The sequence below is a fragment of the Homo sapiens genome, chromosome 7, assembly GCF_000001405.40.
Source record: "Homo sapiens chromosome 7, GRCh38.p14 Primary Assembly".
Classification (NCBI taxonomy): Eukaryota; Metazoa; Chordata; class Mammalia; order Primates; family Hominidae; genus Homo; species Homo sapiens.
This window is the reverse complement of record NC_000007.14, coordinates 77,323,812-77,340,238: the sequence shown is the minus strand read 5'-3', so window position 1 is coordinate 77,340,238 and position 16,427 is coordinate 77,323,812. Positions and strand designations below refer to the sequence as shown.

The 16,427-nt window shown below is 43.1% G+C and overlaps 1 protein-coding gene across 29 annotated transcripts in view; it reads left to right on the top strand.

Moving 5' to 3' along the window:
• Positions 1–16,427, top strand: part of GSAP (gamma-secretase activating protein) — a 105,880-nt gene that overhangs the window by 76,392 nt on the left and 13,061 nt on the right. For 20 of the 29 annotated variants that reach the window (NR_146937.2, XM_047420491.1, XM_047420494.1 and 17 more), the window contains 4 exons: positions 9,872–10,000; positions 10,848–10,906; positions 11,602–11,633; positions 13,966–14,027. Coding sequence is in view for 23 of the 29 variants with exons in the window: in XM_047420491.1 (XP_047276447.1) it covers positions 9,872–10,000; positions 10,848–10,906; positions 11,602–11,633; positions 13,966–14,027 (282 nt within the window). In the remaining 6 variants the exon portion in view is untranslated. Of the gene's footprint in view, positions 1–9,390; positions 9,434–9,871; positions 10,058–10,847; positions 10,909–11,601; positions 11,634–13,965; positions 14,028–16,427 lie in introns of those variants that run through there. The other 9 variants (XR_001744817.2, XM_017012350.3, XM_011516331.4 and 6 more) reach the window with 6 other exon arrangements.

Below are 16,427 nucleotides of genomic sequence, written 5' to 3'. Positions count from 1 at the left end.
TCATAGGATTTGGGTGGGTAGTGGAAAATTACAGTCAAAGGGGGTTTTGTCTTATGGGCAGGGGCGTGTGTCACAAGGTGCTCAGTCGGGGAGCTTCTGAGCCAGGAGAAAGAATTTCACAAGGTTAATCGCTCAGTTAAGATGGGGCAGAAACAAATCACAATGGTGGAATGTCATCATTTAAGGCAGGAACCGACCATTTTCACTTCTTTTGTGATTCTTCACTTCCTTCAGGCCAGCTGGATGTATACGTGTAGGTCACAGGGGATATGATAGCTTAGCTTGGGCTCAGAGGCCTGACAAGGGATAATTTACATTTACAAGGGATTTATGAGTTTACCCGTTTTACTATACCCTTATCAACATTGTGTATTTTCATTTAAAAAGTTAAGTATAAAAGAGTGATGGAAAGGTCCTATTAACTTTTACCTATTAGGTTTTCTAAGAATATGATTTAGCTTTGCTTAGGAACAAAGTCGCTTCTTTTTTGCACTGGCTTGTTTGTTTTCTGTGTGTGGGTGTGTGTAAAATGGAGTATTTTATGTCCTCCATGTGTTTCTGTCCTCCTTTTACATTCCCTCTTTCTCCTCACGTTTTTCTCCTCTACCCATAGCTTTTGTATTTGGCTCTGCAGACAGTTGTTTCCCATTCATCATTTCCACACATGCTTGGGGGCTCTTTTGGCTCCACATGTATTCATCTGCTAGTAGTTATTAATACTGAGGACAAGTATGAGGCACTGTAGATCTCTCTATGACCCTCTGCACACAGCCATGATCCATCAAGGAAGGCAGAGGTGTATTGCTGGGACTAGCCCTGGACTCAGGAGAAGATAGTACTGGGTTTTGTTTGACCAACTCCACCTACCCCAAATGCTCAGCATGGGAGACTCTAATCAGGAGATTCTCATTCCCAGGACACTTGATCCTGCTATTTCTCATTTGTTTCCTCATCTCTGCTCGCGTAATACCACCCATTCACTCCAAGCTGCTACCTTCACCTTTAACCTACTTCTTCTACCCCCAAGTCCCAACTTAATTATAGAGGGATGGAGCTGGTTGCATGAGCATGTCCCACCCTCAGCTCCTCTCTCCCTAGTCTCAGTTATGTGACTGTTCTTGCCATACTTACCCAACAGGAGGTGGCTCTGGACACTCGTGACCTCAATCACAAATTACGTAAGAGTGTGTGCTTGCTTCCACATTTTTTCTTTGAGGACCAAGGTACCCCTATTTACTCTGACCAAACTTATTTCTTTTCTCCTTAGTAGATAAGTGCCCTGATAAGGAGTTAAGGGAGGAGAGGGGCGGGGGTGTGTGTGTGGGAACTGAATAGGTACCTTCCTCCTGTTCTGTCTGCATTCTGAAGCACTTCCTTTTAGTATAAAGTGGAACACTATACAAATGTTTAATAAATTGCAATATTGCTATGGTCTGAATGTTTACATCCCTTCAGGATTCATATGTTGAAGTCCTGACCCCCAAGGTGATGGTTTTAGGTGGTGGTGCCTTTGGGAGGTGATTATTTCTGAGGGCAGAGCCCTGGTGATTGCAATTAGTGCCCTCATAGAAGAGACCCCACAGAGCCAACTTGCCCTCCCGCCACATGAGGTTACAGCGAACACATGGCAGTCTAGGAAGTGGGCCCTCATCAGACACCATATCTGACCACACCCTGATTTTGGGCACTCCAGTCGGAAGAACTGTGAGAAATAAATTTGTTGATAAGCCATCCAGTTTATGGTATTTTGGTGTACCTGCTGTAACAGACTAAGACCTATATGAACATCTTGGGCAGAATAAACCGGTTAAATCAGAAAATTTTCCTAGAGAGACAAAGGACTTCCTCATCTTATAAATAGTTCTCAAAGTCATTTTAAAAACACTAACAGGAAATATGTTGAAACAAGGTGCTTGCCTTAAAAGGAATGTCATTAAGAGTATCCTTCCTAAGAATGATTTTATCCCTTTGTAAACTGTGGATTGCTCTAGGGAAACGGCAACTTTCATAAAAGGCTAAAAATTGCCCTTGATTTTATGGTTATTTTTAAAAAATTTTGATTGATTGATTGATTGAGATAGGGTCTCCCTCTGTCACCCAGGCTGGAGTGCAGTGGTACCATAGTGGCTCACTGCAGCCTCGACCTCCTGGGCATAAGCAGTCCTCCCACCTTAGACTCCCAAGTAGTTGGGACCACAGGCACATGCCACCATGCCTGGCTAATTTTTGTTTGTTTGTTTGTTTGTTTCCTGTAGAGACAGGGTCTTGGTATGTTGCTGGGGCTGATCTCAAACTCCTGGCCTCGAGGGATCATCCCACCTCAGCCTCCCAAAGTGCTGGGATTACACACATGAGCCACCACACCTGGCCTGCCCTTGATTTTATGAGAAGAAAAACCATTAAAACTATTCAACCACAGGAAGCATGTATGGATTTTTAAAAATGGAAAATAGCTTAAATATAAAGATAAAAGATGAGCATGCTACAAATGGAGAAATGGGATATTTTTACCACAGTCTTTAAGTTGGACATCTGTAGTGTATTTCATCACTTGTTAGAGATTGTTGATTACCTGACTCAGAGACTGGGAAGGACAAAAACTTACTGCTCCCTTCTACTTATGGCCACTCAGATGTGAGGGTGTTACTGCCAATGTCTATCAGTGGTCTGATGCCCCTGAGCAACTGGGAGAAGAGTAGTTTATACCTGGGCTGCTCTCCAGAGACTTGTTTATCTGCTTCTTCACTGGTGTTAAACTGTTGTAGGCTGGGTGCGGTGGCTCACACCTGTAATCCCAGCACTTTGGGAGGCCGAGGCGGGTGGATCACTTGGGGCCAGGAGTTCGAGACCAGCCTGGCCAACATGGTGAAACCTTGTCTCTACAGAGAATACAAAAATTAGCCAGGTGTGGTGGTACACGCCTGTAACCCCCCCCCCACCCCACCCCCGCCCCCGTTACTTGGGAGGCTGAGGCAAGAGAATCCCTTGAACCTGGGAGGTGGAGGTTGTAGTGAGCCAAGATAGTGCCACTGCACTCCAGCTTGGGCGACAGAGCAAGACTCCACCTCACAAACAAAACACAAAGTTTTAATTGGGCAGAGCATGAATGTAATTAATTGCTTAGTGAAACACAAAAGACTTGACCCCACAATACAGACAACCATGATCACTTAAATAAAAAGTTTTTTAGTGGTCTGAAGTAATGGTATAATTACAGTATAATAGTTTACAATTTTAAAAAATTGTTGCTTTGACAAAGATGTAGCATCAATAGCAGTGTTAGTTGGTTATGTGGGAAATACTGATTTCCCAAAGTTCAGTTTGCACATATTTTCTGGAACAGTTAATTATAGTGAGGCCAGTGGATACCATAAACCTTAATTTTATGATGCAACAAAGAAATACTCATTAGAGGTAGATTAGCATAGATTTAAAAAAATAAGATGATACTGGCTGGGCACGGTGGCTCATGCCTATAATCCCGTCACTTTGGGAGGCCTAGGCGGGTGAATCACCTGAGGTCAGGAGTTCGAGACTAGCTTGGCCAACATGGTGAAACCCATCTCTACTAAAAATACAAAAATTAGCTGGGCATGGTGGCAGGCGCCTGTAGTCCCAGCTACTTGGGAGGCTGAGGCAGGAGAAGTGCTTGAACCTGGGAGGTGGTGGAGGTTGCAGTGAGCCAAGATTGCGCCATTGCACTCCAGCCTGGGCGACAGAGGGAGACTCTGTCTCAAAAAACAAAAACAAAAAAAAAGAGCTTGAGGCTAGTGATATCATTCCTGTTGTTTCTGTAGCAATGGAGGTGTCTTCAGCCTACTTCCTAGATGATGAAATTGAGGAACAGACCCAGGATGGAGGATTCTTGTTTCTGTTCCTCTTCTACCACCTACTACACTGTGCTGGTCTTATTCATAGTTTTGGTTGGGGACAGGTGTTTTTCATTCTCAAGACTGAGAGGAGGGAAAGAGCTTAGCATTGACTTTCTCAGGGCATAAGCTGATTGTGAGATGGAATAGTTTAGAGCCATATTTAGTGATTTCATTTTTAGAAAAAAATCCAATCCATTAAAAATGGCTAATAGAACTACCCAGATGGGCAAGTAAGTGGAAATTTTTGCTAGATATTGGGGAAGAAGGAGCAAGTCCAATTATATTCAGGAGACCTTGAAATTGCAGCATGCGTTTCCCTAAGTGGGCAGCCTCAGGAGTTCTGGTCATTTGCCCTGTGTATGAGTGTTCCTGTTTAGAGCATCTTAGTTTAGTGCCTTCCTAGCTTTATGTACACACAAACATTTTCTATTTATTCTGTCAATGCTTAGAGGTAGTGGGTCACTGTGTTTCTCTGGGTTGTTAAGTAAAAGCTGATACTGAGATGGAATCCACTGAAGAGCCAAATTGGATGATGCTTTAGCTGTGCTAGTTGAGTCCTGGCACACAGAGGAAAGGGTTCTCTTTGAGTTGGCTGCCTTCTCTGTAAGAAGATGCTGCTTAATCAGCAGAAGTAGGACCAAAGCCAGAGTGCCTTTTAGAAATGAAAGGCAGATTTTTTTTCTGGCAGTAATTTGCAGATGAGCCAGTACCACAGAGCTTTTTTTTTTGTTTGTTTTTGGATCAATTGGCAATCCAAATCATAAATGGGAAACAATTCCTTAATGTAACCCACTGGTTCTTTTGTTCAGTGAATAGTTGTGATGGGCTGTGTTTGGCAATTATTTCAGGTCATCCTAAGAGAAAAAACTCCCCTTTATGTAGGAAAATGCTTCCAGGTCATTCCTTGAGGATGTGATTGCTTCTAACATTGTCTCTAATTCAGGGGTATTTTTCTTTGCCGTGCTTTTTATGAAACAGTCTCATTCTGTCATCCAGGCTGGAATGCAGTGGCATGTTCTTGGCTTACTGCAACCTCTGCCTCCCCAGGTTCAAGTGATCCATCTCAGCCTTCCAAGTAGCTGGGCCTACAGGCACACACCACCATGCCGGGCTAATTTTTTGCATTTTTAATAGAGCCGGGTTTTCACCATGTTGCCCAGGCTGGTCTCGAACTTCTGAGCTCAAGTGATCCACGCATCTTGGCCTCCCAAAGTGCTGGGATTGCAGGTGTGAGCCACTGCATCTGGCATGGGTATGTTTCTTTTTTTCTTTTTTTTTTTAATTGAGACGGAGTCTTGCTCTGTCGCCCAGGCTGGAGTGCAGTGGCGCGATCTCAGCTCACTGCAAGCTCTGCCTCCCGGGTTCATGCCATTCTCCTGCCTCAGCCTCCAGAGTAGCTGGGATTACAGGCGCCCGCCACCACACCCGGCTAATTTTTGTATTTTTAGTAGAGACGGGGTTTCACTGTGTTAGCCAGGAAGGTCTCGATCTCCTGACCTTGTGATCCACCCGCCTCGGTCTCCCAAAGTGCTGGGATTACAGGCGTGAGCCACCATGCCTGGCCGGGTATGTTTCTTATACAGCATTTTTGTGTTTTATTTTTAAAGCTTTATTAGCTCTTTTCGAGTTGCCGGTGATGGGCTTCCTGGGCAGTTGTGGCTTTCATTTTGTGGTGCTGTTGTTCCTGATGAGTACAGTATTTGCTTTGTTGGATAACTGCTAGCTGATTGACAGTGATTTCCTGTGCTCCCAGGTTCATCTTTTTTTTTTTTTTTTTTTTTTTTTTAAATTTTAAGTTCCAGGATACATGGGCAGGACATGCAGGTTTGTTACATAGGTAAACGCATGCCATGGTGGTTTGCTGCACCTCTCAACCCATCACCTAGGTATTAAGCCCAGCATGCATTAGCTATTTATTCTGATGCTCTCCTTCCCCCAACCCCCCAACAGGCCCCAGTGTGTGTTGTTCCCCTCCCTGTGTCCATGTATTCTCATTGTTCAGCTCCTACTTATAAGTGAGAACATGTGCCATTTGGTTTTCTCTTCCTTTGTTAGTTTGCTGAGGATAATGGCTCCCAGCTCCATCTGTGTCCCTGCAAAGGACATGATCTTGTTCCTTTTTGTGGCTGTATAGTATTCCACGGTGTATATGTACCACATTTTCTTGATCCAGTCAATCATTAATGGGCATTTGGATTGATTCCATGTCTTTGCTATTGTGAATAGTGCTGCAGTGAACATACACGTGCATGTAGCTTTATAATAGAAGGATTTGTATTCCTTTGGGTATACACCCAGCAATGAGATTGCTGGGTCAAATGGTATAATACTTCCAGTTCTAGGTCTTTGAGGAATCGCCATAGTGTCCTCCACAATGGTTGAACTAGTTTACATTCCCACCAACAGTGTGAAAGCATTTCTATTTCTCCACAGCCTCACCAGCATCTGTTGTTTCTTGACCAGTCTCATCCTAGAGCATAGTGGTGCGATGGTGTGTCTTGGCTCTTGGGATTGTGCAGATTCAACTCTCCCTTCCCCTCCCCTCCCCTCCATTCTGGGTTACAACATCTAAAACGTTATGTGGGAGATCCTTTATTCTCTGGGATAATGAGCATGCTGGTATCACCTTGGCATTCAGAATCCCTCAAAGATTTGGCCCTAACTACCTCTTTAACTATATCTCCTATTTTAAAACCACACAATCAGAAGTCTTTAGACAGCTGGTGATTTATATAGCCTTTAAGCCAGAGGTGTATAGACTGAGTAAAGTGTTTGAGGGTGGGGTGCCCGGGATTACTTGAACATGCTCACTGTTGTCAGTCCTGGCTGAACATTAGGATGCCTTGGGGGAACTTGTAAAACTCATAAGGCTCAGGCATACCCCAAGCCAATTAAATCTAATTGGGGATGGGACCCAGGTGGTTCCAATGGGCAGCTGAGGCTGGGAGTTGCACATGCTGGAGGCTATTGTCTTCACCATAGAGAATGAAGTACTGTTGACTCTGATGCTCTGGCTCAGATCTGAGCCCCGAATCCATCTTCTAGTCTGTGTCTTTGCTCACACCCAAAGAGTCCCACCTGGAATATCCTTTCCTTGTCCTTCACTGACTCAAATCCATTTCCCTCCCCTGTTCCATCTCTGTTTTCCAAGTTTCCAAATAGACCTTCCAATTTAGAATAATCTCTGCATTTCTTTTTTTTTGGAGACAGTCTCGCACTGTCGCCACGCTGGAGTGCAGTGGCGCCATCTTGGCTCACTGCAACCTCCGCCTCCCGGGTTCAAGTGTTTCTCCTGCCTCAGCCTCCCAAGTAGCTGGGACTACAGGTGCATGCGACCACGCCCAGCTAATTTTTGTATTTTTAGTAGAGATGGGGTTTCATCATGTTGGCCAGGATGGTCTTGATCTCTTGACCTTGTGATCCGCCTGCCTCTGCCTTCCAAAATGCTGGGAGTACAGGCATGACCTGGCCGCATTTCTTAACTGAAAAAAGTTAGATCACTTCTCTAGTGGATACCAAATAGTGAAATATATAGATTTTTCTGTATTATCTTAATATCTGTAAGATATTATAGATATATCTAATATCTATATTAGGCCAGTGACCCCCCTCCTAAAAAACATGTAAGTTCGTGTGAAAATATTTTTGGGATGTTTGGCTAACAGTATTTCTTACTTAAGTGTAAATTTTAATTTTTGTTTTATTTTAAATTCAGATCTTTTTCCTTCTAACTCTAGTCTATTTTAGGCCATGGATTTCTTTGAAAATCTGGTACAAGCTATAGACCATCTACCCAGAAGAGCGCTCATACAAACACATGCTCTATTTTACATTCAGGCAGTGGGTGCTGGAGCCCCTGGAAAGCCTGTCCACTGACATGTGGCGAGCTCTGTTTGATCTGTTTCTTCTTAGCAGACAGATGGCTATGCTAATTAGCCTGATTTGATAAATCCACAATGTATGCATGTATTGAAACACCACATTGCAACCCATAAATATATACAATTATTTGTTAATTTAAAATAAAACAAAACTATGAAAAATGTGCCTACCTCCCCAAAAGGTTATGAGGAAAGGGATTTTTTAAATGGAGTAAGAAGGAAGGTAATTTGGGAGAGATCTTTTCTTAGGAGCTGCAGTGAGTGGGGACTTCTAACAACAGGATAGCATTTGACTTGAGGGGATGGGGCCAGATGACAGTTAGAGGGCATCTGAGTTTCTCCCCTCCCATATCCTGTCCTGGGCAAGGTCTGGGTGAACTGCGTGGGTGGGACTCTTATGGCCAAGCAGGAGGAATTAATAGCTCAACTGAACACTAGATGTCACCACAACACCAATTAGTTTTCTGGCTTTTGGCACTCCTGTGCCTGAGCCCAGATTAGGACAGCAAGAAAGCTTTAGAGACTTCCAGTCAGGGACCTAATTCCATCAAACGTCTGCAGGATTTGTCTTGTCTTTTTTTTTTTTTTTTTTTCTTCTTAAATACAAAGAAGACCCAAAGGGTGGATAAGTGTACGTTCATTATAAATAAATGGAAAGGGAAAGAAAAGATGAGTGAGGTGAGTCAAGTGAGGAGTGGGATTTGATTCCTGTTTTCCCCGGGACATGAGACTTTCTTGGGAAGAGTTTTTCTGTCTCTGGGAGAAGGGATGTTGGCTGGATGGGCATTTCAGGCTTCTGAAAGAGCAAGTTTTAATATTATGTTACTTACTTTACTGATACTCCAAAACACATTTCAAACCAATTATGACTGTCTTTTGAATAAAAATGGTAATAATGTGCTATAATTTAACATGAGGGCATTTTTCTTGATTGAGGTGTTTTTGTTTGTTTGTTTTTAAGTTTTCTTATTTTTCTTGCAGTTCAGCCAAGTCTTGTCACCTTGGCAGGCAATAGTTCACTTAGTTTTATGACCACACATTACATCTCTGGCCCCAGTCAAATCATTTGTAAATGCACATATTTTGGCAAAAAGTATCCTAAGTCTACCTTTATTGGTTTAAAACCAAGTTGTGTCAGAATATCCTTCAACACTAAGAATGTATTTTTTTATTTTTATTTTTTTTGAGACGGAGTCTCGCTCTGTCACCCAGGCTGGAGTGCAGTGGCATGATCTCAGCTCACTGCTAGCTCCACTTCCTGGGTTCATGCCACTCTCCTGCCTCAGCCTCCTGAGTAGCTGGGACTACAAGCGCCCGCCACTGCACCTGGCTAATTTTTTGTATTTTTGGTAGAGACGGGGTTTCACCGTGGTCTCGATCTCCTGACTTCGTGATCCGCCCACCTCAGCCTCCCAAAGTGCTGGGATTACAGGCATGAGCCACTGCACCTGGTCAACACTAAGAACGTATTAACATTGCATTTTATTATTTAAAAATGAATATAATGGATACATTCTTGCTTCAGGGTAGTACAATTATATCAATAATTCAAAGATCTAGATAGAATGCTGACTAATTCTGTTTTGGTGTATGTGACAATGTAAAATTAGTTCATTTTATCTTTTTTTGATTCCTAGGTTTTGAAAAATGTCCTGGGCAGTAAATAAATTTAGCAGGAAAGTACGCCTACTCCATTTATCCAAATGTTAATGAACTTTCTCTTAGTGAACATGGCACTGTTGACACCACCTAAGTCATAAAAACGGGTCTCAAGGGAGGAAATGACTCAGTGTGTTTAATACAGGTTTCCCTGCTAAGCCTCAATCTGGGGAAGTCCTGTTGGTTTTGGGAAGTGAGCAGCAGTTCTCTATGTGGTTTAAAAAAACAACGACAAAAAAAAAAAAAAAAAAAAGAGACAGAAAATGAAGTGGGTAAAGAAGATTCTTTAAGTCTATTTTAGAATCCCTATTGGGTCTAGAATGCCATCTTCTGTACAAAGTATTCACTCAGAAATGTGGACCCTGAGAGCTCGGGAAATAAGGCTTGTGTAATACTCACTGGGTGGTTTGGGCCACTGGGCCTGCCTCTGAAGGCCACTGATGTTTTTGTCTCCTACAGGTGCTCAGCTTTAAGGGCTACTGGGAAAAACTGAACTCCAACCTAGAATATGTTAAGTACGCCAAGCCACACTTCCACTATAACAACAGTGTGGTCAGGAGAGAGTGGCACAACCTGATCTCTGAAGAGGTATGAGTGGGTCAGTGAGAACAAAGCCAGCAGCGAGGCATAGTGGACTGGATCCAGGTGATGCCTTTAAATCATAAGGCTGGCTTCCATGTGCAGCACTCTTCCCAATTGCCAGGGACTTGATCATTGTCATTACTGATCTCAATGGGCAGAGATGCTTCTATGATCTCTGTTCTCCTAGGGAGGAAACTGAAAAGCAGAAAGTTTAAGGGGACACACAGCACATTCATAGTAGAAGTATGATTAATATCCATGTCTCAGATGTGTTCTCAGGTTACTTATGTAGTTAAAAATTGATATTAAAAAATCTAGGTGTTCCCAACTTAGTGGTCATTAGGGGTTGGGGTAGTTGGAGGGAGAATAGTGGACGTGACTCACTGTCCAGGGGTGACCCAGGGAAATCTTTGGGGGTGATCGAAGACTTCTATGTGTTGATTGTGGTGGTACATTGTGGGACATGAATCTAAACATGATAAAATGACATAGAATGACACACACACATTGTGCCAATGTCAATTTTTGATTTTGATATTGTGCTCTAGTTAGGTAAGATATAAGCACTGAGGAGACTGGGTGGAGGGTACATTGCATCTCTCTCTAGTATCGCTGCATGTAGATTAGTGTTGTTGTGTGTAGTATATAGTTGACTCGCAGTTTCCTGTGAATCTGTAATTGTTTCAGAATAAAATATTTCTTAAAACTTTAAAAAAAATCTAGGTGTTCTGATTACCTGGAAAGTATATTTCTTCTCTCTGATGCTCTTAACTGTATTGCATTATATCCTTGACGTGAAAAGTCACCGATAAAACCTTTACCTTCCACATTTCTGACGTGTTCTCACTCCTAGAAAACAGGAAAAAGAAGGTCTGCGGCATACGTGAGGAATATTCTTGATAATGCAGTAAAGTAAGTGAAAGCAGAGGTTATCATATCTGTAAGATGGTTGACATTTACAATTACTTTGTTTTGTTGGCTACCTTTTATAGAAGTAGTTTACTTTTGTTGCATATCCCCAGCAAAATAATATTGTCAGCTTCATGAATGCAGCCACTTGGACCCTATTCTGGAATTTGGTGCTGGAATTTCTGGTGGGAAAAGCTTATATGTTGAACCTTATAGACTTGTAACCTGCGGATAGATGTTTACAATGGATAATTGGTAAAGAAATTTCCTATTAGCATTTTAGGAGAGAAAGGCAAATAGTAGGTTGATTTTTTTTTTTTTTAAAGTGTCAGTGGGCTAGTGAGCTTGCTTTTATTTTGAAAGCCTATTTTCTGGATATATGAGTCATCTCAGAGTACTAAAAGTATAGGCCCCATTCCAACCTCTGTTCTATTTTCTGTCCCCATTATTTTCAATAACTGAGAGCTACAGTTGTTCTAAATTATTGCCGTTGTTGGCACTAAAGGGTTTTGAGATTTTTTAATTGCCTAATGTGGCTTTCACTACATTGATCAAAGTTTTTGAGGTTTTCAGCAGCTTGAGAATAGTTTCTACAGTGGTTTTTATGAATTTTTAAAGGAGGATATCTTTGTATGATGTGGCTTTAAATTTTTTAAAAGCAATGCTGTCTGTGAATAACATGGCTAATTTCTTCGTAGGGTGATTTCTAACCTAGAAGCAAGAAATTTGGGTAAGAAAAGATCTGTAATAAAGCCTTCTGGGTTCCAGTCAGTGTTTTGTTTGTAGCACTGTTCTTCCTACCACTGTGGGTTGGCAAGAGAATCACTTCCAGTAGTGTGGTGCAGGCAGCACCTTTTAATATCTTGCTGTTAGAGTGGCCGCACGGCTCTTCCCATGTCTGTCTAGGCACCAGGACCTCCGGGGACAGCTGCTGAATGTGCTTTTGCGATGGGAGTCCCTGGGTGATGGCCTTGCGGTTCTCCTTATTTCCTGTCATACAGAGCTGCCCTCTGGCTGTGCCCACAGGATGCATTTTGGCATTTCCCTTGGCTTGGTGCTGCTTGCTTTCTAGCTGTCTGATCCTACCGGGTCTTGCCTTGTTTGTGCCTCTCATTTGGGTTAAAAATTGGGCACACAGGTCCTAGAGGCATAAAGATGAGGAGCTTCCAGGTAAGCAGTGTGGTTCTGGGGGAAAGAGCACAGGCTTGAGAGCTAGACAGAGCTGGACTTATATTCCAGCATGGCCTCTTGTGTGAACCATGTGCTCCTGGGCAAGTCACTTACCCATTTGTGCACTGTCCTTAGGGGAGTGAGGAGAAAATGAGACTAAATGGGGTAATGCAGATAGCACCTAACATAGTGCTTAGCACATGAGGGTACCTGAGGTGGCTGCTTTATTCCTTAGTGTGTAAAGAAGAAATGTTAACATGTGGCTTCTAAACCAAATGACAGGTATTATATAATCCATAGGTGCGGGGAGTGAGAGGATAGGTTAGGAGCGGGGATGGCTGGAGGAGGGAGGGAGGTTGGAAGAGGCTCCCCAGAGGGCTGACAGGTGAGTTAAGTCTTGATAAACAAAGGGGACTTGGCCAAGTGAAACCAGGGGAGGGGAATGCTGAGCATATTCAGGCACAGGCTTATTTGTAGTTGCCAGAAGAACACTTTCGTGCCTCATGAAGGTCAGCCTTCATTAAATAAGCTTTTGTTTTTATATCCCACTCCTGTTTTATGGGCTTGGATGTTGGGTGATTCTAATGGAAACTATTTTATACAGTGCATTGCTGCACCTCCTCCAGCTGTGCACACAGCACAGTGAACTGTGACAGTGCACTTGTCATCCAGCTTAGGCTGACAGAGCCTGGGCTCACTGACCAGCCCAGGAGGAACCAGCCTCTGCCTTACCAGGCCATCAATCCCTGAAGCCAGGGGATCTGCCCTGCCAGACACGGGCATGTGTGTGTGTGTTTCAGGCTTATCATCCTTGCATTGCTGGGGGTTTCGCAACACGGGGAACGTTGCTGGTCTGGCTGAGGTTTCTGTCGTGCCACCCCTCCTGCCCTGCTTATGGAGCTACTGTATGTGTCAGGGCCGTTTGCATCCTGTTACTAGTCAGTCTATCTTAATGCACTTTAGGAAACTCTTCCCTTTCCTTGCACGTGCTTTGCGTATACTAGTTCCCCATAAAGAATGTCACTGCCTGAAACAGAACATTCTGTGAAATGCAGGGCTGTTGGATTCACATGTTAAATTGTTTCATCTCAATCACGAGGGTTGTGTAGGATCCAGGGAAGATTTATCCCGGGGGGTCAAGAGATATCGATGCCCTCCCAGAAGGAGTTGCCAGCCCACTGAGCAGGGTGGTTCTGCCCTCTTGCCTGGCACTGGATCTCAAGTATTTAAGAAGAAAAGAATGGAATACAAAGAAGTTAGAAGCGCTTTGGGGCAGATTTTCCAGCAAGACTGGGTTTGTCTGCCCCTAGGGCCACTACACTGTAGTGTGCATTGCAAATCATGGTGGAGAAGGTACCATTTGATTTAACATATCACTTTTCCACCTTTACCTAACTACCTTTGTAGTCTGATAACTTGTGCCAGTTAGTATTATTTGCTGCAGTAATTGACTGGCCCCCTCAGCTCAGTAACTCCCAAGGCTACTGAACTACAGGGTTCAGAAAGTAGAAGGGAGCCATGCAGTCCTTCCACCGAGCGCTGTTCCCTCAATTTATGACCCCAGAAGGGTTAAGAGAAGGCCCAAGTCCCTCTGTTTCCAGTGGAGCAGAGGTTCTTAGCAGTGAGTTTTAGTGTTGAACAAAAATCAAAGCTAGAGCCTACTGGGGTTGAGGAATGTGTTGGTTTCTTTCTTTCTCGGTCATTCCCTGTTTCACACAGCTCTGATAAGTTCACCTTGTAGGACTAGGTCACACTTAGGTGATGAAAAATTTTCATCCTGTGTTATGTTTTCTCAATGACTCAGAGAAGGGAAACCCAGGCTGATTCTTCTTCCTTCTAACCCATCTCCTGAAAACTGCTCAGAGCCTAACTATTGCTCTGTTTCATTTCAGGGCCAAGATTAACACCCCTCCTGCAGGAGGAAGACAGCCACCAGCGGCTGCTCATGGGGCTGGTAAGTGGTACGTGGGTTCTTTAGGGGCTGGCAAACAAGGAACCCTAAGACAAGGGGAAAGGATTACAGTGGGCTTCTCATTCTGATCTTATTCTTTATTCTTTGCACAAGTATGTTTTGCCAGCATTATGGACCTTGTGTGCCCAGTGGTAAGCAACCCATATGATTTCTGCCCTCTTGGAATGTGTAGTCAAAGGGGGAAGACACACATGCATCACACCAATACATATGTAATTTACAAACCATGATAAAAGGAGTGTATAGTGTTGAGAGTGCTTTAAAAAAGGAAAGAGCTGCATCTTTGTGGCATTTGTATTTGGGGTTTCAAATACAACAGAACAGGCCGGGCACAGTGGCTCATGCCTGTAATCCCAGCACTTTGGGAGGCCAAGGTGGGCGAATCACCTGAAGTCAGGAGTTCGAGACCAGCCTGGCCAACATGGTGAAACCCTGTCTCTACTAAAAATGCAAAAATTAGCTGGGCATGATGGTGCACACCTGTAATCTCAGCTACTCAGGAGGCTGAGGCAGGAGAATCGCTTGAACCCAGGAAGTGGAGGTTGCAGTGAACCAAGATTGCGCCACTGCCCTCCATCCTGGGCGACAGAGGGAGACTCCGTCTCAGAAAACAACACAAAACAACAACATAAAAACAACAGAACAAAGTACTTTTTCTCAAGAAGTCATAATACTAGGATGACCAAAAAAATATGAATCAAAATAAATTTTCAATTGAAAAGCAGAATTTGTAAATAAATCCAAAACCTTTAAAAAGCTGATTAAAGAGACATCTGGAAAGCCTAATAAGATATTTTTTAATACCATGTGGACTTAAGAATGGGATAATCTATTTATTAGTTTAGGTTTAATTTTCAAGTTTTCTGCCTTTATTGCAGTCATTAGTGTTGTTTCTACATAATATATTTGAATTTCTATGGTAAGGTTTGAGTTTCATAGTTTTTAATATATTAGGAGAGGTTAGTTTAGATATGCCAACAATAGTAAAAGAAAAATCTCACATATACAAGAAGGAAATAATTATAGTACTTTTATAAAATTAAATATTGCACAGCCATTAAAATAGTATGGCAAACATGGCTGGGCACTGTTGCTCACACCTGTTATCCCAGCACTTTGGGAGGCCGAGGTGGGTGGATCACCTGAGGTCAGGAGTTCGAGACCAGCCTAGTCAACATGGTGAAACACCGTCTCTACTAAAAATACAAAAATTGGCTGGGCGTGGTAGCACGTGCCTGTAATCTCGGCTACTGGGAGGCTGAGGCATGAGAATCGCTTGAACCCAGGAGGTGGAGGTTGCAGTGAGCTGAGATCGCATCACTGCACTCCAGCCTGAGTGACAGAGCAAAAAAAAAAAAAAAAAAAAAGTATGGCAAACAATGTTTACACGACAAACATGCAACATTAGAATGGGTGTGCACGCCAGGAAAAAAAAAACGCAATTGTTAATATGGGTGGTAGGATTATGGGTGATTTTAATTTTTATCTTCATGGAAAAATTGAAAAGCACAAAGAAGTATGCACTATGTATTACACAGAAAGCATCTTTTATTTAAAGCCAAATTAATTGGCACATGCATGAGACTGAATTGAATTAAGGTACCATTATGTCTTGGCCTTGAAGGTTGTGGACTTGGTTTTACTCGGGGTATTGTAATGTGAACCTGCTAAAATAGAAGATGTGTGCATGGGTGATATAAGCTGTACAACTCCCTTGGGCTGTTTATTGGCACAAACGTGGTCCTGGCATCCTGCTCTTGCTGAGCGTGTTGTCTGGGCAAAAGGGAGAGGAGGGAGGAGGAGAGAGAAAAGCAAAAGGTGGGGAAGGCTGGGAATGCTAATGGTTGGGGAAGTGGGGAGGCCCAAGGATGATCAAACAAAGCGAGTATAGAAACAAACCTATTTGGAGGCACCAGAATGAATATTTCATTACCTTTGCATGTCAAGGGGCTGTGTTGAGTGTCTGTGGCCACTGTGTAGAGGGAAGTACCTGATTATTTCCCATTTACTCCTGCTTCTGTCCTTCCAAAACACCCAAAACTGTTGCCCCCATTGGCTCAGTCATTCTATATATAGAGTTGTTCCTGTTAATCCCCCAGGACTCTAGGAGAAGTAGACTTTAATCCTTTGGTAGATCCCAAAGCCTGTGACTTCTAAGTTGGTGACTTTCACTGTCTTCTTTGGAGGATTCTCGTCAGAGTTAGAGCCTTACTCGCAGTTGCTCACGGGGCTTTGGGTGAATCATAAGTAATTCCTTTTGAGGCAAATGTTGGGGACCCCTTATTTATGCTCACCAGAGAAATACTGAGAGTTATGCATTTCCATTGATGGGACCTTCAGATCCAGTATTTTTTATATTGATGAAGAATGTTAATAAGTGGA